Raw genomic sequence first — 25,612 nt, forward strand, 5'->3', positions numbered from 1 at the left:
CCTAAAGTGCTGGGATTACAGGCGTGAGCCACCACACCCGGCCCCAGATCCCTGTCTTGAGACATAACCTACAAGGTGATAGTGTTAAGAGGTGGAGCCCTTTAAGACGTGATGAGGTCATGAGGGTGGGGCCTCAGGAATGAGATGAGTGTCCTTCTAAAAGGGACCCCAGAGAGCTCCCTCGACCCTTCTGCCACGTGATGACAAGAGTGAGAAGGCACCGTCTGTGAACCAGGAAGCAGGTCCTCACCAGACACTGAACGTGGCATGCTTTGATCTTGGACTTCTAGCCTCCAGAAGTGTGAGCCTGACCAACAGGGAGAAACCCCGTCTATACTAAAAATACAAAATTAGCTGGGCATGGTGGCGCATGCCTGTAATCCCAGCTACTCAGGAGGCTGAGGCAGGAGAATCGCTTGAACCCAGAGGGCAGAGGTTGTGGTGAGCCGAGATCACACCATTGCACTCCAGCCTGGGCAACAAGAGGGAAACTCTGCCTCAAAAAAATAAAAATGAAAAAAATAAAGAGGCAAAAGAGCCAGAAGCAAAATGTGCATCCGCCTATTTCCCCTGAGGGCACGTACGTTCCCTAAGAGCGACAGGTAGAGTGACTAAAAGCACCTTTGTTCCAACAGTGGCAGGCTGTAGCATCCCCGTTCTCAGGAAGCCACAACCAAAAAAAAAAAAAAAAAAAAAAAGCCAGCAACACACATGAGGTGAGAAGGATTTTCCTGAAAACTTCCAGCCTGACAGGTGCATGATTATTTTAAAAGCAGAGCCTAGATGTGCAAATCTGCAGGAGGGGTAACATGAAACTAAAACATGGCATTGTTTGCAAGCTACATGGCTTCGTAGGAGAGTCTGCTGTATGGGGGGCCATGGCTTGCATGGCTGACAGCATCACTTCTCCTGCATAGTGCAAAACATGGACAAGAAGATGCCTGAAGAGGTCCTGTGGGCCTGCCTAGACTCATCTGGCTTAATTACAATATTCAGAAATGCAACACCTACTCTCTGGAGAAGTATTCCATTCCCTCTTTCTGGGCTCCCACAAGCACAGTCTTTGCTTGGCTGAGCCAAGGGAGCTGACAGCAGAATCCCTGAGTCTTCGGATATTAGGGCTGTTGTTAGCTATGGAAGGAGGGCAGAGTTGAGGGTGTCAGACTTGGCCAACCTACCCACCAGAAGGAGGACATGCAAGCCACAGAGACTTGGGAGGAAGGACACAGAACAGTCCACAGATAGTCAAGTAGAGCAAGATTGTTTCAGGAAAAGGGGTTGGTTCTTTCACAGAATCCATGAACAGCAATCATTACCATTTTCATAATCATCACTATCACCACCATCACCAACATCATAGCCACCACCATCATCATTACCATCATCACCATCACCACCATCATCACTACCATCATCACCATCATCATCATCACCATCACCATCATCATCATCACCATCACCATCATCATCACCATCATCACCATCACCATCATCACCACCATCATCACCATCATCACCATCACCATCATCACCACCATCATCACCATCATCATCACCATCACCATCATCACCATCATCACCATCACCATCATCACCACCATCATCACCATCATCATCGCCATCATCATCACTATCATCATCATCATCATCACCATCACCATCATCACCATCATCATCACCATCACCGTCATCACCACCATCATCACCATCATCATCGCCATCATCATTATCACCATCATCATCACTATCATCATCATCATCACCACCATCACCATCATCACCATCATTAGCAGCAGCAGCAGCATGACCATCATCACCATCATTATCATTTCTATCATCACCATCACCATCATCACCATCATCAGCAGCATCATCACCATCACCAACATCATTATCATTTCTATTACCACCACTATCACCATCATCATCATCACCACCATCACCATCATCAGCAGCAGCAGCATCACCACCATCACCATCATCATTATTTCTATCACCACCACCATTGTCATCACCATCATGACCATCATCATCACTGACCATCATCATCATCACATGACCATGACCATCACTATCACCATCCTCATCACCATCATCATTATCATTTCTATCACCCCATCATCATCACCATCAGCATCAGCATCATCAACACCAATATTTTCATCATCACTATCATCACCATCATAAACACCATCATCACCATCACCATCATCATTATCACATCAGCAGCAGCAGCATAATCATTATCATCACCATCATCACCATCGTCATGATCATCACCATCATCATCATCATCACCATCATCACAGTCATTACTATATCACCATCACCATAATTATCACCATCATCACCATTACCACTGTCATCATCATTGCCATCATCACTACCACCATCATCACAACCATCATCACCATCAGAATCACCATTATCATCAACATCATCATTGTGGCAGCTGTCATTCATGAGATCCCACAATGCACAAAATATTTTCCTGTATTTTATTCCTTTGGCCAGTACTTTTTATATCCCAGTGATGTTCCATGGACCATCATGGGGCTGGGGAAATCAGTGACACAATTAAACAACCAACGATACAATGTGTGAGGTTGGCGATAGAAGGGATTAAGTGTCCCAAGGGAGCAGGGAGTTGTAAGGCACCTGGCTTCAGGACAACTGCTTTACAGCATGCTATAAAAGCTGAGAAGACTAGCATGAAAGGGACTTGGATGGTCAGGAGGCAGAGGAGGGGAAGAATTCTCAAGAACCAGGAACCACATGTGCACAGCTACAGCAAACAGGTGGAGGCATGAAGGGCATTCTGCCCATATGGGTTTAAGCAGGTTAAGACAACAGTGTGACTCAGCAGGATCTCTCTGACTGCAGTGTAGACAGTTCAGGGAGGGAAACCTGGAAGCCGAGAGACTAGCCAGGAAGCAGAGTTATGAAGCAGGTAAGGGATAGGTGTGACCTGCTGTAGGGAGTGATACCGAAAATGACGGAGTGTTTTTGATAAGCATGTAGGTGGTCTACAGAGCTCTCAGTTGCCACCAGGGAGAGGAATGCCAAGGTGGAGAAAAGCATCTCAGACACTCTAGGATCGACTGTAGGCAGCTGAGAGGATGGTAGTCCACTGACTTACACAGAGAGAAGGAAAATGTCAAATACATTCCTGCACTTGCTGTGGAAGCAGGGAGGTGTAGGAGGCAGGAGTTTGGAAACAAATATATTGGTGAGAACTAGCAGAGCAGAGTTTTGGAGAACACGGACGTGGTTGCAAGACCTAAGGAAAGGTGTGTAGTGTGAGATGCTACGAGGAAACGCTGAGGAAAGGCAGCATAAAAGAAACAGTCAAGAAAGAAGCCACACAGGAGGGTAGGTCTTGGAGAAAGCAAACCCAGAGGGTGGAACCTCATGAGAGGATGGAATTGAATCTTTCAAGACAGCTGTTAAAGGACACTTTTTAAGAGTGTTTATCATAATTTTGCTCACTCAGATAAGTGGATGATTATTTAATTCCTCACTCCAGCTGGACTATAAATTCCACACAGGCAAGAAGCAAGCTTATTTGGTTGTATTTAAAATTGAACAATGGGATCACGTGGACACAGGAAGGGGAACATCACACTCTGCGGACTGTTGTGGGGTGGGGGGAGGGGGGGGATGGCATTGGGAGATATACCTAATGCTGGATGACCAGTTGGTGGGTGCAGCACACCGGCATGGCACATGTATACGTATGTAACTAACCTGCACAATGTGCACATGTACCCTAAAACTTAAAGTATAATAATAAAAAATAAATAAATTTAAAAAAAAAAAGAAAAAAAAATATATATATATACATTTGCTGCGCACCTGTAGTCCCAGCTGCTCGGGAGGCTGAGGCAGGAGAATCGCTTGAGCCTGGAAGGCGGAGGTTGTAGTGAGCCAAGATTGTGCCACTGCACTCCAGCCTGGCGACAGAGTGAGACTCCATCTCAAATATATATGTGTGTGTGTGTGTGTGTGTGTGTGTATGTGTATATATATGTGTGTGTGTGTATACATACATACACACATCCAACAAGTACCATCATTACCATCACCATCATCACCATCATCATCATTTAGGGAAAGGAACACAAATGTGACACTGGAAATTCACATTTGAATTTGGAAATTCATCCATGAATCAGCCAGAGGGCTATGGTGGTGGCTAGTGATGGTCATGGTTGCTTTAAAAGATGCATGCTTTATTGTGGTTTATGAGAGAACCACCAAGAATGGAAAGAATGTAGCACACAGACCGTAATTCTCATTCCATAGCCACAGCAGGCATCACTAATTGATGACTATTCCTTGCTGCAGGATCATTCTTATCTCAGGGTGCTGGCAGCCAGAACCAATCAATCAGCCTTAGGAGGGAAAATCCACTTGCCATCCATTCAATTTGTGATTCGGGTGTAGAGCATCTCCTGCATTCCGGCTGCTGTTATGAGATTAATTCCTTCAGAGGTTTACTAATTAATGGATGTTGAATTATCCCAAATGCTTCCCTGTTACCTAATGAGAAGCATCCTTTGGTCTACAGGTGGATGAGTTGCAACTAAGTCAGGAGTAATTTTTTTTTTAACCTGGAAGTCTATTCAGTGGATAAGATTAAACTAGATTTTCTTTATTTAGGTTGGTAAGTAGAACCAGCCGATGATGCTTCTTTGAAAAGTGTTCATTTGGGAGTAAAACGGTTTACTCAGACACAGGTTGGTGGCTCTGGTCACTTTGAAGAGTACAGCCAGTAGATTTTTGGATAAATGGCCAAATACTACACACCTTAGGATTTGTGGGCCATAAGGTCTCTGTTGCAACTCTTCAAACCTGTGTACCTAAGGCAAAAACAGTCACAGGCAATAAGTAAATGAATGTATATGGCTGTGTTTCAAGAAAACTTTAATGAGAAAAACAAGTTAAGGGTCAGATATGTTCCAGGGTCAACAGTTTCCAGATTCTTGATCTAGATTGTCCTTGATGGTTTGGAAAAAGTATATAGATAATCAATTATTTATTTATTTATTTATTTATTTATTTATTTATTTATTTTGTGTGTGAGAGAGAGAGAGAAAGAAAGAGAGAGACAGAGAGACGGAGTCTTGCTCTGTCACCAGGCTAGAGTGCAGTGGCATGATTTCAGCTCACTACAACCTCCACCTCCCAGGTTCAAGCAATTCTCCTGCCTCAGCCTCCCAAGTAGCTGGGATTACAGGCCTGTGCCACCACACCCAGCTAATTTTTGTATTTTTAGTAGAGACAGGGTTTTACCATGTTGGCCAGGCTGGTCTCGAACTCTGGACCTCAGGTGACCCGCCCAACTCAGCCTCCCAAAGTGCTGGGATTACAGGCGTGAGCCACTGCACCCAACCAGATATTCAAGAATTCATTAGGAACACTTGGTGGAAAGTTCTGACGGTTGAAATTTCAGCATGTTGTTTTATCTGTGATCTGTAATTCCATTTGCATGAATTTAGCAAAATTCTAATTTTTTGCAATAAGACAGCCTTTCATCCTTTGCCCAGGAGGAGGTAATCAAATATGTTAGTTGAGTTAAGAATAAATTACTTTTTTTGCATAAGTTTAAATCATATTTTTATTACATGTTATTTCCTCTTTCTTGTTCCAATTCATGCTAATCTGTCCTTGCTTCTTTTGTGTGTGGAATGAAGGATGAATAAATGGTGGGATATTATTCTTTCATTTTTCTTAAGGAAACTACTATTGATGGTTTTGTTTTTTTTTTTTTTTGCTTCTCTGCTACTTTCCTTTTGTATTTATTTCTGCACAATGTCATTATTTTCATACTCCTGCTTCCTAATTTTACTTTATTTCTTAGAGGCCCAGTCATCATTTGCTTTTTTATTTCTTACTAGCACGAGAACTTAGAGTGATACAAATCTTCTGAATATTTTGGCTGCATTCTGCAGACAGTGACAGCTTCCATTTCCATGGATATTATTTATAAAACATTTTTGTCACCTGCTATGAATTGTCACCCTGCCCACATGCTTTAAAAGGACAGTTTTTGAAATCAACATGAGTTTGGGCACTGGGAAACTGCAAACTTAATAAAATTAAACATTAAAAAAGCGGCTCTTTCTGCTTCCCTATCAACTGAGGCAGCAGGGTTATAGATGTAGGGGGTAAGGAACGGACCCTGTATTGGTCAGGGTTCTCTAGAGGGACAGAACTAACAGGATAGATATATAGAAAGGGGCATTTATTCGGTATTAACTCACACGATCACAAGGTCCCACAATAGACTGTCTGCAGGCTGAGGGGCAAGGAAGCCAGCCCAAGTCCCAAAGCTGAAGAACTTGGAGTCCAGTTTTCCAGGGCAGGAAGTATCCAGCACAGAGAAAGATGCAGGCTGGGAGGCTAGACCAGTCTAGTCTTTTCATGTTTTTCTGCCTGCTTATAGTCTAGCCTCGCTGGCCTGCTGATGACATGGTGGCCACCCAGATGATTAAGGGTGGGTCTGCCTTTCCCAGCCCACGGACTCAAATGTTAATGTCCTTTGGCAACACCCTCACAGACACACCCAGGATCAATACTTTGCATCCTTCAATCCAATCAAGTTTACTCTAAGTATTAATCATCGCAGAACCCATTCCAAGGGCAGAAGTTTACAGAGGAAATAGTTAGGACCTCAGCCAGCTCCAGAGTGTGCATGGATCAGATAACAGGGGTGAATTTCCTCACAGCAGGCGGAAAAAAAAAAAAATTCCCTACTCTGAGCCTCCACCCTCCCCTGCAAAAAAAAAAAAAAAAAAAACGGGATTCCCTCAGGTACCCCCAGAACCTAAATCTTGTTCTGTGCCAGGGAGGCATGGGGTACAGGAGCCTGGCTCACTCCTGAGGAAGCCACTGCTCATAGCTACAGGGTAGCTGTGGTCCTGTGGGGACTGATCAGCCTCAGGGCTTGAGGGGACAATGAGGGCAGAGAAAACAGGAGAAGGGAGTGGTATGGGTTTGTCCTTGGTCTTACTCAAAGGAGCCATTGGGAGGCATGGAGGGAACCCCATGGCAAGATGCTGAGACGATGCCAGCTTGCTGGGGGTTGCAGAAACGTTTTCAGGTAGCCCCTTGGAAAGAAACACTGGTTGTCATGGGCTGAATTTTGTCCCCCTCAAATTCATACATTGAGATCCTCACCCCTAGGACTTCAGAATGTGATCATATTTGGATATGGGGTCTTTAAAGAGGCAATTAAGGTAAAATGAGGTTTCAGGGGGTTGGGGGGAGGCTGATCCAATGGGACTGGCTCCTTATAAGAAGAGGAGATGAGGACACAGACACACACAGAGGGACAACCCTGTGAGGACACAGGGAGAAGACGGTGACTCCAAGTCCAGCAGAGAGACCTCAGGAGGAACCAGCCCTGCCCATACCCTGATCTCAGATGTCCAGCCTCCAGTACTGTGGGAGAATCAATGTCTATTGTTTCTAAGCCACCCAGCCTATGGTATTCTGTGATAGCAGCCTGAAATGGACTAAGATATCTCATAAGAAGAGGAGATGAGGACACAGACACAGACAGAGGAAGGACTCTGTGAGGACACAGGGAGAAGACAGCATCTCCAAGTCCAGGAGAGAGACCTCAGGAGGAATCAGCCTTGCCCATACCCTGATCTCAGACATCCAGCCTCCAGGACTGTGGGAGAATAAATGTCTTGTTTGTAAGTCATCCAGCCTATGGTATTCTGTGACAGCAGCCTGAAATAGACTAAGACATTTCATAAGAAGAGATGAGGACACAGACACACACAGAGGAAGGACTCTGTGAGGACACAGGGAGAAGACGGCGTCTACAAGCCAGAGAGAAAGCAAGCCTACCGACACGGTGACCTCAGACATGTAGCCTCTACAGCTGTGAGAGAATAAGTATCTTTTGTTTAAACCACCTGGTCTGTGGATCTCTGTAACACTCGGCAACGCTACAAGACGAATACACGGACCAGAGCATTAGAAGCGCCGCAGGTGGTCTCTGGCAGTCACGCTTCTGCCATGAGAATCAGCTCTAACCGTCTGTTACCGGGACATAGGGTAACCAGCCAGGAAGGGGTCACCTGGTCTCCTTCCTCCTCTCTCTCACCTGCACCCAGGTGGGTGCTCCAATGGCAGCTCATGGGGGGAAAGAGAGGGAAAGGCTGGGCCAGAGGCAGCAGAAATCTCCCTTCTGAAAGAGGAAGATGACCTGAGCTCCTGCCCTGGGCTGAATCCCTGAATCCAGACTCTGTTTTGTGATGAAAGTGATGGCGGTAACCTGGGAGGGGGTGGGTAGGTAGGTTTCGTGTCCACCTCTGTTTCCATGCAGGAGCTTGGGAGAGGGAGACAGGGAGGGCACAGCACATGGATGACACCCCACGGGCTGTGTGCTTGGCGTGCTGGACACGTGTGTCACAGTCTTTCTTGACCTAAAACATGGGTACTTTTATCCACTCATGAGTGTATGATCAATTGACACACACGAGTCACTCACCAACAGCTGCACAAGGATGCTCCAGAGATAAATCTTCTCTTGCCTTGTGTTTTATTTATTCTTCTCTGTATCTCCCTGATCTGGCCTTTTCAGATTCAGAATCACGTGGGTTGTTGAGCATTTCCAATTTAAGGGCAATTACTTATTTTATTTTTTTTTTATTGTTTTAGATGGATTCTTGCCGTGTCACCCAGGCTGGAGTGCAGTGGCATGAGCTCGGCTCACTGCGACCTCCGCCTCCGGGGATCAAGTGATTCTGCTGCCTCAGCCTCCCGAGGAGCTGGGATTACAGGCTTGAGCCACCATGCCAGGCTAGTTTTTGTATTTTTAGTAGAGAAGGGGTTTCGCCATGTCGGCCACGGTGGTCTCGAACTCCCGACCTCAAGTGATCCACCCGCCTCAGCCTCCCAAATTGCTGGGATTACAGGCATGAACCACCGTGCCCGGCCTCATTTTTAAAATAATTTTTAATTGTGGAAAAATACACATAACATAAAGTTTAGCATTTTAACCTTTTTTTTTTTTTTTTTTAATGGAGCTTTGCTCTTGTTGCCCATCCTGGAGTGTAATAGCGCGATCTCAGCTCACCACAACCTCTGCCTCCCGGATTCAAGCGATTCTCCTGCTCAGCCTCCCAAATAGCTGGGATTATAGGCGCCCACCACCACACTCGGCTAATTTTGTATTTTTAGTAGGAGGTTTCTCCATGTTGGTCAGGCTCGTCTCAAACTCCTGACCTCAGGTGATCCACCCGCCTCGGCCTCCCAAAGTGCTGGGATTACGGGCATGAGTCACCATGCCCAGCTGCATTTTTTTTTTTTATAATTTTGAATTGTGGAAAAATACACATCACATAAAGTTTAGCATTTTAACCATTTTTACGTACACAGTAAAGTGGTATTAAATACATTCATATTGTTATGTAGCCATCACTGCCATGCATCTCCAAAATATTTTCATCTTGCCAAATGGAAACTCTGTTCCCATTAAACATTAAGTCCCCACCTTTTCCTCGCCCAACCCCTATAACTACCCCATTCTACTTTCTGTCTCTAAAAATTTAAAGGTACTCTGTGTACCTCATAGGAGTGGAATCCTACAGTATTTGTCCTTTGGGGATTGGTTTATTTCACTTAGCATTAATGTCCTCAAGGTTAGCCCACATTGCAGCATGCATCTGAATATCCTTCCTTTTTTATGGCTGTGTAATATTCCATCATTTGGATACACCACATTTTGCTTATCCATCTGCCTGTGGAGGGACACAGTTTCTCTCCACCTTTTAGGATTGGATTATTTCACTTAGCATTAATGTCCTCAAGGTTAGCCCACATCGCAGCATGCATCTGAATACCCTTCCTTTTTTATGGCTGCGTAATATTCCACCGTTTGGATATACCACATTCTGCTTATCCATTTGCTTCTGGAAGGACACAGTTTCTCTCCACCTTCGGGTTATTGTAAGTAATACTGCTGCTGCAAACGTGGTTTGTGCAAATATCTGTTGGAGACCCTGTTTCCAATTCTTTGAGGTATATACCCAGCAGTGGAATTCCTGGTGCCATCTGTTCTTACTTTTTATTTCATGGAATGCTGTTTTATTGGGGACCCAAGAATTTGGCAGGATCAGTCTATCCTCAGGGAGTCAGTGAAGTTCAATAATAAAGAAACTCTCCAGGTCGTCCCTCCTTAAAAGTCAGGTTCCTTCAAGACAGAATACAAGTGACCTGCCCTCAGGCAAAAGGGATGCCGGCAACGTTGCACCACTGGTGCAACACCAGTATGCACCAAGGCATAACCCAAGATTTAAGACGCAGCCAAGAGCCCTTTCCCAGGAGGAGCCATAGGTAGGAATTCTCAGGCAGGCAGGGGACTGGGGGAAAAAATAAACCCACCTAGGGGTGGAATCCTGCCAAGTAAGAGAGGAATATAGAAGGCAGCAGACACAGGGGTCACACCCAGAAATGCAAAGGCTGATGTGAAAAGCCTGCCACGAAGCACCCAGCCCATCTTAAGTGAAATTCAAGAGGACTCCTGTAATCCCAGCACTTTGGGAGGCCGAGGTGGGCAGATCACCTGAGGTCAGGAGTTCGAGACCAGCCTGACCAACATGGTGAAATTCCCATCTCTACTAAAAATACAAAAATTAGCTGGGTGTGGTGGGACACACCTGTAATCCCAGCTACTGGGGAGACTGAGGCAGGAGAATTGCTTGAATCCAGGAGGTGAAGGTTGCAGTGGGCCAAGATTGCACCACTGCACTCCAGCCTGGGTGACAGAGCGAAATTCCGACTAAAAGAAAAAAAAAGGAAAGAAATTCAAGAGGGACTGTGAAAAGAGCAGTGATTGCTACACAGTCCAAGGCGATCCATGGGGATGAGTCAGCAATTATGCATCCAACGAAGTGAGGTTTGCAAGGTGAGGAAGGAGGAGGGAAAACGCTGTCGTTCACCATCCCTCGCCACAGGGAGGCCACAGGCAATGCCAGCAATTCAAACGTGCTGCTTAAACAAAGCATCCTGGTCCTTCCTGGGGAAATGGAAATGGGTATGACGGTCAGGGAGGGTGACGCTACCCTCAAGCCCAGCCCTTCACTTCAATGGGATTTAAATGCCATGCATGTTACAGTTCAGTTTTATGAAACCTCTGCTTTTATCTAAAGCATATATAATTTCATAAAGTATATGTAAAGCATTTATCATTTTATATATGCAGCACATACAATTTTAGGAGGAAATGATGGTGCACGCCTGTAGTCCCAGCTCCTCGAGAGGCTGAGGTGGGAGGATCGCTTGAGTTCCAGAGGCAAAGCCAGCCCGGGCAACACAGCAAGACTCACGTCTCTTAAAAAATAAAATAAAATAAGTAGGTATATAATTTTATGTATATATTAATTTTATATTTTGTATACTGATATATATGTATTATATATTATATGTTACAATGTTTATTTATATTATATATTATGATATATGCTTATTATATATTATATTTATTATATATTATGTGTTACATAGTATGATATATATAAAATAATATATACATAAAATTAAACATCCAATAACTATAGTTTATACTTATATATTATAAATTCGTGTTTATTATAAAGTATGATATAAAAATATATACTAAATATATATACTATTTATAGAATAGCATAAATATTTAATATAAATTATTTATAATGACACAAATATAATTTATAGTTATCATTATATATTTATGTAATATATATTTTATATATACACAAAATGTATTGTGCATATTATATTATGTTTTATATATAAATATATAAATAAAATATATCAAAGTATATCTTGTATATAATTTTATATTACAAATATATGTTACAAAATATATATACATTACAAAATGTAACATACATATGAATGTGAATTCATATGTATATACATTATAATATAAATTCATATTATGTCATTATGTATTTAATATATACATTGAACATAATACATCATATATAATAATACATTATAATTTAATGTATATGCTTTATAATAATAAATATATAGTAAGTATATAAACCTAAAATATTAATATAGATCAAATATATAAATGTGTATACAATAAATATATGAACCTAAAATATGAATATATATAAAGTAGATGAATATAACACATAAACAAACTATAAATGTCTAGACATTGACCATGTACAAGTGTGCAGTGTGGACAGTGAATGGAAATGTGAGCATGAAATGTGTGTTGACGCCTCCCATCTCCTGTGCACACACAAGACACAGCGACCTCCCCATCTCCTGCGCACACATGACACACAGGGACCTCCCCATCTCCTGTGCACACACATGACACACAGGGACCTCCCCATCTCCTGCACACACATGACACACAGGGACCTCCCCGTCTCCTCCGCACACACGACACACAGGGACCTCCCTGTCTCCGGCGCACACAGGACACCCAGGGACCTCCCCATCTCCTCTGCACACACGACACACAGGGACCTCCCCGTCTCCTGCACACACGACACACAGGGACCTCCCCGTCTCCTCCGCACACACGACACACAGGGACCTCCCTGTCTCCTGCGCACACACGACACACAGGGACCTCCCCGTCTCCTGCACACACGACACACAGGGACCTCCCCATCTCCTGGGCACACAACACCCAGGGACCTCCCTGTCTCCTGCACACACGACACACAGGGACCTCCCCGTCTCCTGCACACACGACACACAGGGACCTCCCCATCTCCTGGGCACACAACACCCAGGGACCTCCCTGTCTCCTGCACACACGACACACAGTGACCTGCCCGTCTCCTGCGCACACACAACACACAGGGACCATTCGGGGTTCAGGGACGCGTGTCCATGGTAGGATCCCTGGCAATTTTTCTGATTTGCCCGAGCACTCATGAGTTTCATGACTGCTATGATTTTTCACAGAAGCTTGGCTGTGGGCAAGATGGGTTGGCAGATGCAGGGGGAACCGGATGGAAGGCTGCTTGTGTCCGGGCTCACTGTCCTGGCGGCTGCAGGTGCCTAGGCCATGAGGACATCTGAGCAGACAGGGCGCCGGAGGAGAGGGCAGGACAAGAATGGGAGTGCAGACAGCAGGCTCCCTGTGAAGGCCAGTGGGCCCAGCTGAGACCCAGGGAGGGGTATACCTGCCCCACAGGAGAGACCTGGACTTGGCAGCAGCAGGGAGCTGGGGCAGGAGGGAAATCGGCCCCACCCACATGCTGCAAGCACGTCAGCCAGGTCAGAGTTCCAGGTGAGGACGAGGTTACAGCTACAGGTGATATGATGTCAGAGCTATCGGTGAGGATAGCCGGTTAGAGCTACAGGTGAGGGTAAGAGGTCAGAATGCCAGGTGAAGATGAGATTACAGCTACAGGTGAGGATGACATCACATTTACACGTGAGGATAACAGGTTAGAGCTACAGATGAGGATAAGAGTTGGAGTTGGGGCCGGGCACAGTGGCTCACGCCTGTAATCCCAGCACTTTGGGAGGCTGAGGCGGGCAGATCACAAGGTCAAGAGATCGAGACCGTCCTGGCCAACATGGTGAAACCCCATCTCTACTAAAAATACATAAATTAGATGGGCGTGGTGGCACGTGCCTGTAGTCCCAGCTACTCAGTAGGCTGAGGCGGGAGAATGGCGTGAACCTGGGAGGCGGAAGTTGCCGTGAGCCGAGATTGTGCCACTGCACTCCAGCCTGGGCAACACAGTGAGACTCCGTCTCATGAAAAAAAAAAAAAAGAGTTGGAGTTGGAGTTCCAGGTAGTGATGAGAGGTTGGACTTCCAGGTGACAATGAGTGGTCAGCATTACAGGTGATGGAGGGAGGTTGGAGTCCTAGGTGAGGACAAGTGGTCCGAGTTACAGGTGATGGGGAGAGGTTCGAGTCCCAGGTGAGGATCAGTGGTCAGCGTTATAGGTGATGATAAGAGGTTGAAGTTCCAGGTAAAGATAAGCCATCACTGGGGCCAAGGACAGCCCGAGGTCACAGGGCTGGCTCAACCCTGATTCCTCCAAGACCTGTGTTCTTTCCTGCACCTGTTTCCTTGGAACGAGTCTGTTCAGGACTCACACTCACCTGCTGCAGGGAGCTCAGCTCTCCAGCCCACCTGCACTCTCTCCAGAACCCCTCCCTGCCCGTGTGAAGCAGGAGGGTGTCACAGATCAGCACCCAACACACCTCGGCCACTGGGGCCAGCCAGGGGGTGGAGGGGCCGAGCTACGTAAGTCCCTGCGCGCACCACAAAGGGGGCTTGTACTGTGTCTAGAAACCTTTCATTTCTGTTTTGAGTTTACTTTCTCACTGGGGTTCCACTCCTGGCAGACCTCCCTTTTTCCCATAGAGAGGCCGCACGCAGAATTTCCAAGCATCTGGAACCCCGGCTGCTTGGAAACATGTAGCGCCTCCTGTCATGCCCCATCGGTGACCAGAGAGGACTGAGTAAGGGATGTTCCCGTGACTGCAAGGAAGGCATGGATGGGGGCGTGTCCACCTCCAGCGGAACCCCCAGGGGACTTGGAATTTGGAGGCAGAGTCTGAGGCCAACACTTCAGAGTGACACACGCATGTTCAGGGTCACCTTACCGGAAGCCATGCATTTCCCTGATGAGCCAGGGGGGTGACTATGTCTCCCCAAGTTCTTGTCCCATGACCTGGGGTCAGGACACAGTGTGCTGATGTCACACCATGTCACACAGCTGTAGTATGCCTCTATCAGCAATGCAACTAGATATTCTATTCCTGCCCGATCTATGTCTCTACTCGTCTCCCGAGGCTGCTGTGACAAATGACCACACCTGGGGAACTTAATTCAACAGGAATTCATCCTCTACTGGCTCTGGAGACCAAAAGTCTGAGATCAGGTGTCTCAGGACCATGCTCCCTCCGGGGGCTCTCAGGAAGGGGCCTCCCTGCCTCTCCTAGTTCCTGGGGGCTCCAGGAGTCCCTGGGTTTGTGGCCGCATCGCTCCAGTCTCTGCCTCTGTCTCCACAAGGCCTTCTCCTCTGTGTCTGTGTCTCCTCTCCTGTCTCCTACAAGGACAGCTATCATTGGATTTAAGACTCACCCTAATCCAGAATGATCTCATCTTGAGATCCTTAACTAATTACATCTGCAAAGACCCTATTTCCAAATAAGTTCCTGTTCACAGGTTCTGGGGATTAGGACATGGACATATCTTTTGGAGATCAGCATTCAACCCCTTGCAATTGTGTTTGATGCTTTCTTTCTTTTTCTTTTTTTTTTTTTTTTTTTTGAGACAGAATCATGCTCTGTCTCCCAGGCTGGAGTGCATTGGCAATATCTCAGCTCACTGCAACCTCAGCCTCCCGGGTTCAAGCCATTCTCCAGCCTCAGCCTCCCGAGGAGCTGGGATGACAGGCTCCCGCCACCACGCCTGGCTAATTTTTGTATTTTTAGTAGAGATGAGGTTTCACCATGTTGGCCAGGCTGGTCTCGAACTCCTGGCCTCAAGCAATCCACCCGCCTTGGCCTCCCAAAGGTGTCTGATACTTTCTGAAGACTCTAGGGGGCATCCTTCCTGCCTCTTCCAGCTCCTGGTATCCCTAAGTTGATGGCCGCATCACTCCAGTCTCTGTCTCCACATGGCCTTATCTGTGTCTCCCTTTTTTTTTTTTTTTTGAGATGGAGTTTCACTCTTGTTGCCCAGGCCGGAGCGCAATACCACGATCTCGGCTCACCACAACCTCCGCCTCCTGGGTTCAAGCGATTCTCCTGTCTCAGCCTCCTGATTAGCTAAAATTGCTCTTAATATTTTAAAGGATACTGCAGAATACAGAGGCATTTGAAGGAATAAAGAGAATGGCTGAAAACAGCTGAAATTCAGCTTCTTTTTACTATTATTCCATTTTTATTTAGAGAAAAGGGTCTTGCTCTGTCGCCCAAGCTAAAGTACAGGGTCGCGATCATGGCTCACCACAGCCTTGACCTCCAGGCTCAAACGATCCTCCTGCCTCAGCCTCCTGAGTAGCTGAGACTCCAGGCACGCACACCACGCCTGACTAATTTTTTTATTTAGTTGTAGAGACAAGGTCTTGCCATGTTGCCCAGGCTGGTCTTGAAGTCCTGGGCTCAAGCGATCCTCCTGCCTCTGCCTCCCGAGTAGCTGGGACCACAGTGCACCCCACCAAGCCAGACTGATTTGTTAATATTTTGTAGAGACGGAGTCTCTCTACGCCACCCTGACTGCTGTCGAACTCCTGGCCTCAAGCAATCTTCTTGCCTCAGCCTCCCAAAGTGCTGGAATTCCAAGCGTGAGCCACCGGGCCCGACCCTGGCATTCACCCCTCTTGAGACACGGTGGGAAAGAAACTGTGAATAGTTATTTTCACACGTGCCGCCTGTGCTCTGGTGGGAGAAGAGCAATGAGAACACTCGCCTTGTTTCTCTACCTCGGTTCTCATTCACAGACAAAAAAAAAAACAACAGTAACACAGCCAGGCAGGGTAGAGATAACTCCCTCCACTGACAGAGACATTTTTTTTTTCCCATTTTAACAACACTCATTAATTCTTATCTGTTAAATAGCGCGTAGAATTTGTGCCTCTAAACCCACTCGATAATCTTTTGGGTAATTAACTTGTAAAACAACCCCAGTCCTCGTTACGGGCGGGATGGAAAAATGTGAAGTAGCGCATTTGCAAAGCAGACCATACACAATTACTTATTAAACATGCCCCAGGTGTGCCGGCAAGTCGGCGGCAAGTGGAAGCCCTCAGCCTTGTCGTCTAATGGAAGAAGATTAAAAAGTGCCAATATCCTCAGAGCGCGCACACACACACACACACACACACATAGATACATATGCCAACAGGCTGATCTCACACACATAGATACATATGCCAACAGGCTGATCTCACACACATAGATACATATGCCAACAGGCTGATATATTCAGGGTCTGGAGAAGGATTACACAAAGAGATGAGTTGCGGAAGGGGGCTCGCTTGCAGACCCTTGTAGGTGAACAGGGGCAGGGATTAAGGAGCTCATGGTGCTGCAGAAGTATCTCTGAATGGATCAGGGCAACCGTGCATTCAATAGCAAAATATGTCAGTATGACTCATCTCAGAAACAGCCTTGCTTCCAACTGCAGGCGGTGATTTGGCCAGAGGTGGGCTCCAAGACTTGGGAAACACTCGTCAGAGCACCTCTAACCTCTACCTAACTCTAGCCCTAACCCTAAATATTAGGGAAATATGAGACTATGAGTTTTCAAAAAATAGCTGGGTATGGTGGCTCACTGTGCCTGTCATCCCAGCACTTTGGGAGGCTCAGGTAGGAGGATCGCCTGAGGCTGGGAGTTGGAGACCAAAACCCAAAGAGGCTGTGAACCACAACACACCGTCATTTCTGGAAACGCACCGACTATCTGGGAGGCCCATGTGTGGATGTGCTTATTCTTAAGTATTTAAAGGCCCATGGAAAGGCGCTTTTGCTCTTTAGTGAAAATATATACTGGGCTCTATCGAGCCACGAAAAGACGCAAAGAAACGTTAAATGCATATTCCTTTTTTTTTTTTTTTTTGAGATGGACTCTCGCTGTGTCACCTAGGCTGAAGTGCAGTGGTGCGATCTCGGCTCACTGAAAACTCCGCCTCCCAGGTTCAAGCAATTCTCCTGCATCAGCCTCCTGAGTAGCTGGGATTACAGGCATGCGCCACCATGCCTGGCTAATTTTTGTATTTCTATTTATTTGTTTATTTATTTGGAGACGGTGTCTCGCTCTGTCGCCCAGGCTGGAGTGCAGTGGCGCGATCTCGGCTCACTGCAAGCTCCCCCTCCCGGGTTCACGCCATTCTCCCACCTCAGCCTCCCGAGTAGCTGGGACTACAGGCACCCGCCACCAAGCCCAGCTAATTTTTTTTGTACTTTTAGTAGAGACGGGGTTTCACTGTGTTAGCCAGGATGGTCTCGATCTCCTGATCTCGTGATCTGCCCGCCTCGGCCATAGAGATTTGGAAGGTTATTACCACCCTGAGATATGAAGAGCCCTGAAGAGAAGGAACACAATGAGACCTGCGAGGACCAATTAAACTTTCAGAGAGTGTGGGACATCTATGCCCACGCATGAGAACACATACGGTGACCTCAAGGAAAAATTACCAACAGGAACGCATGAGTCTATCTGTTTATCTACGCATATGCCTGTCTACAGCCTGACTCGGGACACTTCTCGAAAACATGAAAGAAACAAAAGGACTCACTATGAAAAGGAAAACAGTCAATAAGGGCCATTTTATGTTTAAAAAAAAAAAAAACACAGGCCAGGCGTGATAGCTCACGCCTGTAATCCCAGCACTTCGGGAGGCCAAGGCAGGCAGATCACAAAGTCAGGAGATCAAGACCATCCTGGCTAACACGGTGAATCCCTGTCTCTACTAAAAATACAAAAAATTAGCTGGGTGTGATGGTGCACGCCTGTAATCCCAGCATCTTGGGAGGCTGAGGCAGGAGAATGGCTTGAACCAGGGAGTCAGAGGTTGCAGTGAGCCAAGATCGCACCACTGCACTCCAGCCTGGGCAACAGAGCAAGACTCCGTCTCAAAACAAACAAACAAAAAGCAAAAAAAAAAAAAAAAACAAAAAAACACAGGGGCTGAGCTTGGTGTCTTACACCTGTAATCCCAGCACTTTGGAAGGTGGGAGGATCGCCTGAGGCCAGGAGTTTGAGACCAGCCTGGGCGACATAATGAGACCCCGTCTCTAGAAAAAATTTAAAAAACAAAATTAGCCATGTGTAGTGGTGCATGCTACTAGTCCCAGCTACTCGGGAGGCTGGGGTAGGAAGTTTCCTACTGAGGAGTTTGAGGCTGCAGTGAGCTATGATCACACCACTGCACTCCAACCTGGGTGACAGAGCAAGACCTTGTCTCCAAAACAACAAAACAAAAAACAAAGGTAATTGTGAATATATGCTGAACCAGAATACACATCCACAATCTGGTTAAAACTTCTCGGGAATAAACATAATTAATCGTTGGCGAACACATTCACATAAAGTGCTGTGATTCCAACTTCAGCACAGACATGATCTCTCAAGGATTCTATGCCCTAAAATCATGTCACAAGAATTCTGTACATTAAAAATGGATACCCAGGGGTGTGGGGAGAATTCCATGCCATCAACACTCACATCATCCTTTTTCCAAGTTTCGCAACCTCCTTAACAATCCTTCTACCCAATCCGAAAGTCTACAGGTTGAAGAAAAATTCTAGGTGTCTTCTTGCCCCAAGATATGTCTGCCTCCTGACTTGGAGTTCTCGCTCTGTTTGATGATGAAGACCAGTAGACACCTACACAGAGACTCTTGCATGTCATCATGAATAACATATGTCCCAGTCATGTGTCACAGGTGAGCCTGTAAAACAGGCACTGAGGTAGATTGTCTCGGGAGCCACTGTGTTTCAGGCACTGAATCAGAGACTCAGAAGATACCTGTGCACAGAATCCATCTCTGCCCTCACAAAGCTCTGATTTTAGCAGGGACAGGCGATGAGGAGGGTGAGTATTCCCAAAACAACAACCCTCATCTCTTGCACGTGGAACGGGTCACAAAGAGCTCTCTTACTGACAACAAGCATTCATCCTACACTTCACTGACTCTTGTATTTTCAATCTACTCAATTACGTTGATGACCTGTTATCAACCTTCATCCTGATTTCACAGTATTCTGTTTTCATGATAAATTCAAGTATTTTATAGGTCATTGGATAGGCCAAAATGATGGTTCACAAAGATCTATTTTCAAAGTAGAAGTGCCTCCCAAGGCGGCGTGCAAAATTTACCTTCTTGACACCCATCAATTACAGAAGGCATTGACCAGTGATTTCTTTTATTGAAAACAAACTTGGTCTAATAACTGGGTGGAAGCACATGAACCAAACAGCTAGTCCCTCTTCTGATGAAGACGGCACAAGCTACTGGAAGAATAATATTTGGGAAGCTTTTTTTTTTTTTTTTTTTTAGATGAAGTTTTTCTCTGTCGCCCAGGCCGGAGTGCAGTGGCATGATCTCGGCTCACCGCAAACCTCCGCCTCCCGGGTCCAAGCCATTCTCCTGCCTCAGCCTCCTGAGTAGCTGGAATTACAGGCACCCGCCACCATACCTGACTAACATTTATATTTTTAGTAGAGATGGGGTTTCACCGTGTTGGCCAGGCTGGTTTCAAACTCCTGACCTCAAGCTATCTGCCCGCCTAGGCCTCCCAAAGAGCTGGGATGACAGGCGTGAGCCATCGTGCCTAGCCAGGAAGCTAAATGAATCAGAAGATGCTGTTTGTGATTAAAGTTACACAATCATTATAGAAAATGAGGACACCGTGCACCTTCCAAAGAGGATACACAGCACGTGTCTAGTCTGATCTCTCTTAGGATTTAGGATTACAGGGGTTCCACCATGGCATGTACGAGCTGCAAAAGAGAATGGGCCTGCCTTCAGTGCTTTTAAGAGTGTTTAACTGGTTATCTCTCCCCATCTGAGTTCATTTGAACACGGCTATGCCTTTCTGTGTTTGCTTTCATGGAGCCGCTGGGGTTTGATTTATTTATATTTGGAGGAGTTTCGGTAAGTGAATGAGACTATTTGTTCTAAGTAAGACAGCTTTCATCAGCACATAATTACCCAGGAGCCACAAAGGTGTGGGCACAATGGCTAAGTGATGATAAGGAGTGAAAACGCTTCCCTGGAAAATCCCTAGCTTGGGAAATGAGCCATCTCGCCCAGATTCCTGAAAACAATCGCGCATTTATAATTCCGAGAGCTCAATTAGCCGTCCTTCTGTGGGCACGTAGCTTCCCATGCCCTGCCCAGCGTGGGATCTCAGAGGAGCACGACTTCAAAGACAGAAAGTACAACAAAGTACGCAGGCCAGAGTATTAACCCAAGAACTAAGGAGAGAGAATTGAGAGCAGGAAAGGCAGGAGGGGAAAGCAGGCTAGACAGGCGCCCAGCATGTTGAAATAATTGTGTGACTGACACTCCACAGCAATCTGTGCTCCTGGAGTCAGGACGTGAGCCGACTTGCTTAAAAATAAATCCACATGGCTGAACCGGGGTTACCCGATGCCGGGATCCCAGCAGAGCAAGAACGAAACAGCACATTCAGCTCCCTCTGTCCCTCGCTGGGCAACTGGAGGTTGTGGGGACAAGAATCAGAGTTCCAGCAGGTGCAGGCCAGTCCAGAGAGAAGCACAATTTAGAGCAAGGTTCGTACGGGTTTGGTGGAGGTGTGCCCAGGTCTCAGCTGAGGAGGGAAGGGATGCCTGTAGGAGCTGTGGTCGTCCATAAGATGTTGTGGGCAGCAGATACCACTCACAGGCAGAGGGCAGACCCTGCCGTGTGGCTGGACCACGGATCTGGGGGCTCCTGAGCCTGGAGGCAGACTCAGTCGAGGTAAAGGCTCAATGGCCACAGCCGAAATGTCCCCACCCAGCTGGGCCTCAGCATCATCTATCAAGGACTGGAGAGTCCCCCAGCAGTGGACATACCAGGGCCACCACTGATGAATGTCCAAACCTGTTCAGATTTTAAACTTTTTTCTTTTAAAAAAAAAAATTGCATGCACACATAGTAGGTGTATATATTTATGGGATAATGAGGTATTTTGATACAGGCATGCAATGTGTAATACTCACATCAGGGCAAATAGGGTATCCATCCCCTCGAGCATTCATCACTTGTTTGTGTCACTAACATTCCAATTACACCTTTAATTGGTTTCTTTTTTTTTTTTTTTTTTTTTGAGATGGAGTCTCTGTAGTCCAGGTTGGAGTGCGGTGGCACAATCTCAGCTCACAGCAACCTCCGCCTCCCAGATTCAAGCAATTCTCCTGCTTCAGCCTCCCAAGTAGCTGGGACTACAGGTGTGCACCACCACGCCCGGCTAATTTTTGTGTTTTTAGTAGAGACGGGGTTTCACCATGTTGGCCAGGCTGGTCTCGAACTCCTGACCTCAAGTCATCCACCTGCCTCGGCTTTCCAAAGTGCTGGGATTCAGGGGTGAGCCACCATGTCCAGCAACTTTTAGTTATTTTTAAATGGACCATGAAGGATTGTTGACTGTAGTCACCCTTTTGTGCTATCAAATACGAGACCTTACTCATTCTATCTAAAGTATATTTTTGTGCCCATTAACCATCTCCACGGCACACCCCATCTTCCCACCCTCTTACAAGATGGTAAAGCTTTTAAACAGCCACAGAAAGTGCAAACGATTCTTTTCTTCTTTTCTGTAAGATTGGCTTAAAGGCCATCGGTATTTATATGCCACAAGTAAACTAACATTTTTTAATGGTGGGGACAAATCATGTATTCGTCATGCTACTTGTCCACAAAACACTGCACTTTAAAAACTGATGATCGAATATCCTACACAAACTTTTCCAAGAAAACAGCAATGATTTGTTATTGTGGTCAGATGCAGTGGCTCACGCCTGTAATCCCAGCAATTTGGGAGGCTGAGGTGGGTGGATATCTGAGGTCAAGAGTTTGAGACAAGCCTGGCTAACACGGTGAAACCCCATCTCTACTAAAAATACAAAAAATTAGCCGGGCCTGGTGGTGGGTGTCTGTGATCCCAGTTACTCGGGAGGCTGAGGCAGGAGAATCGCTTGAACCCGGGAGGCGGAGGTTGCAGTGAGCCGAGATCACACCACTGCATTCTAACGTGGGCAACAAGAGTGAAACTCTGTCTCAAAAAAAAAAAAAAAAAATTATTGGTCAAAATTCATGTTGTCTAAATCTGAAACATTTTCAGAATCTAATAAAATTAAGTTGGTGATTATAAATCATTGTTTCTTGGCTGTCATTTTGGTTAGGTGGATCACATATGTGAATTTTGGGGAACTATATATAGTTTTTAAGCCGTTCAGATTAAAAGCAAAAAGTCATGAGAAAAGAATGCCTCACTTGTCAGTTTCCAGAAACTTCTCTTTGGGCTCCAGATTGATGGTTGAATGCCTTCAGGACAGCAGCAAGTGTACCATTTGAAGGTGCGTGGGGATCATTTAACGGCCTCATAAGAATGCAGATTCCAGGGCCCCGCCCCCACCCCCAGAGGCCCCGATTCACAGATGGGCCCTGGGCACCTGCATTTCTTGTTTACTCCCCGGAAATGCTGATGTGACAGGCCCGGAGAAGGCACTTTTGGATTCATTGTGTTAGAAAATGCCACTCCTTTGAAAACCTGCTGCAAATGAGGAAGGGCCAAGGTGGCAGGGAATAGGACCCCCTGTCACAGATGAAACAGGAATTTTAAAAAATTTAAAAATGTATAAGCAAAAACTCAGTTGTATGTAAGAAAACCCAGTTCTCCCTGAGGAAGAGAAAGAGTTGAAGTCCATTAAAAATTAACTGCCTGTTTTTCTGCGGCTAATAAGCCTTGTCTCTTCCTTTCCCAAGCATTATAAAAACTCTGCTTCTCTAGCTATACAGCTACAAAGTCACTAGGCAAATAATCTCAAATCATAAAACATATTATTCCTTAAAAAATAAAAAATAATATAATGCATGTGTCAATTAAACAACTGTCTTTGTTTCTCACTTCTATGATATACTTCCCCCTACACAGAGCTCCCCCCGCCCCAGAAAATACTTAAAAAATAACCAAACTCTTTGTTCAAAACTCGGTCCTTTAAATGTTAATCCGACGGGGTCGGTACAAATAAATAATTAAATAATTCCTCCTCAACCCCTCGGTGTCTCTAATTCCTTAATTATCCCTCTACACAGAAACCAATCCTTTTGCCCCAAGGCAGATCCTAATGAGGAGAAAAGATCTGGCCAGGCTGCTGCCACTCTGTGACATTGTACACTGGGCTTGGCTCTGGCTGAGCGGGAGCCCCTGTGGGAGTGTGTTCCTGAAAATCACAGGGATCCTGCAATGCCGGCTATGAAATTTCAACATACCCCAGCCCTTGGCAGAGGTAATAACAAGGTGTTTCACAGCAGCTTAGGGTAGAAAGGAGGAGATAGGGGCATAGGCAGTGACCAGGCTCAGCTCTGTGTAGCGTTCATTTCACTCTCATGGCTTTAAAAAGAATCAAGGCCGGGCGCGGTGGCTCACACCGGTCATCTCAGCACTTTGGGAGGCTGAGGCGGGTGGATCATGAGGTCAGGAGTTCAAGACCAGCCTGGCCAAGATGGTGAAACCCCGTCTCTACTAAAAATACAAAAATTAGCCGGGCTTGGTGGGTGGGCGCCTGTAATCCCAGCTACTCGGGAGGCTGAGGCAGGAGAATCGCTTGAACCCGGGCCACAGAGGTTGCAGTGAGCCGAGATCACATTGCTGCACTCCAGCCTGGGTGATAGAGTGAGACTCTGTCTCAAAATATTAATAATAATCGTCATCATCATCAAAATAGGCCAGGCACAGTGGCTCACACCTATAATCCCAGCACTTTGGGAGGCCGAGGTGAATGGACCGCTTGAACCCAGTAGTTCAAGATGAACCTGGGCAACAAGGCAAAACCCCAACTCTACAAAGAGTAGCTGGGTGTGGTGCTGCACACCTGTATTCCCAGCTACTGGGGAGGCTGAGGCAGGAGAAACACTTGGGCCTGGGAGGCGGAGGTTGCAGTGAGCCGAGATAACACCACTGTACTCCAGCCTGGGCAACAGAGTGAGACCCTGTATCAAAAAACAAACAAACAAATAAAGAATCAAAATACACCCATCCCCCACTTGGGGGAATTCTCAAAACACCATCTCAAATTCAAACAGCCAAGGAAGGGATGTGCATTTAAAAAAAAAAAAAAAATAAGGTACCACACATAAACATGGCCGAGAAAAGCACTTAGCATTTGGATGGCCAACAGGTATATGAAAAGGTGCTTATAGGAAAAGGTAGTCGGCCGGGTGCAGTGGCTCACGCCTGTAATCCCAACACTTTGGGAGGCTGAGGCGAACGGATCACGAGGTCAGGAGTTCGAGACCAGCCTGGCCAACATGGCGAAACCCCGTCTCTATTAAAAATACAAAAATTAGCTGGGCATGGTCGCCAATGCCTGTAATCTCAGCTACTCAGGAGGCTGAGGCAGAAGAATCGCTTGAACCTGGGAGCCGGAGGTTGCAGTGAGCCGAGATCGCACCACTGCATTCCAGCCTAGGTGACAGAGTGAGACTCCGTCTCAAAAAGAAACAAAAAAATAAACAAAGAAAAGGTACTCAACATCACTAATCATCAGGGAAATGCAAATGAAAACCACCATGAGCTACTATCTCACACCAGCTAAAATGGATATTGTCAGAAGGGTGTTTTTGTTTGTGTTTTTTTGTTTTTTGTTTTTTTTTTTCTTTGAGACAGAGTCTTGCTCTGTCACCCAGGCTGGAGTGCAAAGGTGTGATCTCAGCTCACTGCAACCTCCAACTCCCAGGTTCAAGCAATTCTCCTGCCTCAGCCTCCTGAGTAGCTGGGGTTACAGGCCCCTGCCACCACGCTCGGCTAATTTTTGTATTTTTAGTAGACTCGAGGTTTCACCATGTTAGCCAGGCTGGTCTCGAACTCCTGACCTCAGGTGATCCACCCGCCTCGGCCTCCCAAAGTGCTGGGATTACAGGTGCCAGCCACCACGC

At 46.2% G+C, this 25,612-nt stretch overlaps 1 protein-coding gene across 1 annotated transcript in view, besides 4 other annotated features; it reads right to left on the reverse strand.

The window, feature by feature from the left end:
* Nucleotides 1-25,612, reverse strand: part of DHRSX (dehydrogenase/reductase X-linked) — a 281,471-nt gene that overhangs the window by 161,617 nt on the left and 94,242 nt on the right. The gene's annotated exons all lie outside the window — the stretch shown is intronic.
* Nucleotides 10,610-11,221: an enhancer, noted in NCBI's record as "NANOG-H3K27ac hESC enhancer chrX:2309773-2310384 (GRCh37/hg19 assembly coordinates)". NCBI's record gives its function as "activates a minimal SCP1, AML or CMV promoter by ChIP-STARR-seq in naive H9 embryonic stem cells {active_cell/tissue: H9 hESC(naive)}" and the evidence as "EXISTENCE:reporter gene assay evidence [ECO:0000049][PMID:30033119]".
* Nucleotides 10,610-11,247: a biological region, named in NCBI's record as "NANOG-H3K27ac hESC enhancers GRCh37_chrX:2309773-2310384 and GRCh37_chrY:2259846-2260410".
* Nucleotides 10,683-11,247: an enhancer, noted in NCBI's record as "NANOG-H3K27ac hESC enhancer chrY:2259846-2260410 (GRCh37/hg19 assembly coordinates)". NCBI's record gives its function as "activates a minimal SCP1, AML or CMV promoter by ChIP-STARR-seq in naive and primed H9 embryonic stem cells {active_cell/tissue: H9 hESC(naive and primed)}" and the evidence as "EXISTENCE:reporter gene assay evidence [ECO:0000049][PMID:30033119]".
* Nucleotides 11,931-12,741: an enhancer, noted in NCBI's record as "H3K4me1 hESC enhancer chrX:2311094-2311904 (GRCh37/hg19 assembly coordinates)". NCBI's record gives its function as "activates a minimal SCP1, AML or CMV promoter by ChIP-STARR-seq in primed H9 embryonic stem cells {active_cell/tissue: H9 hESC(primed)}" and the evidence as "EXISTENCE:reporter gene assay evidence [ECO:0000049][PMID:30033119]".

Source organism: Homo sapiens, chromosome Y (assembly GCF_000001405.40).
Source record: "Homo sapiens chromosome Y, GRCh38.p14 Primary Assembly".
NCBI lineage: Eukaryota > Metazoa > Chordata > Mammalia > Primates > Hominidae > Homo > Homo sapiens.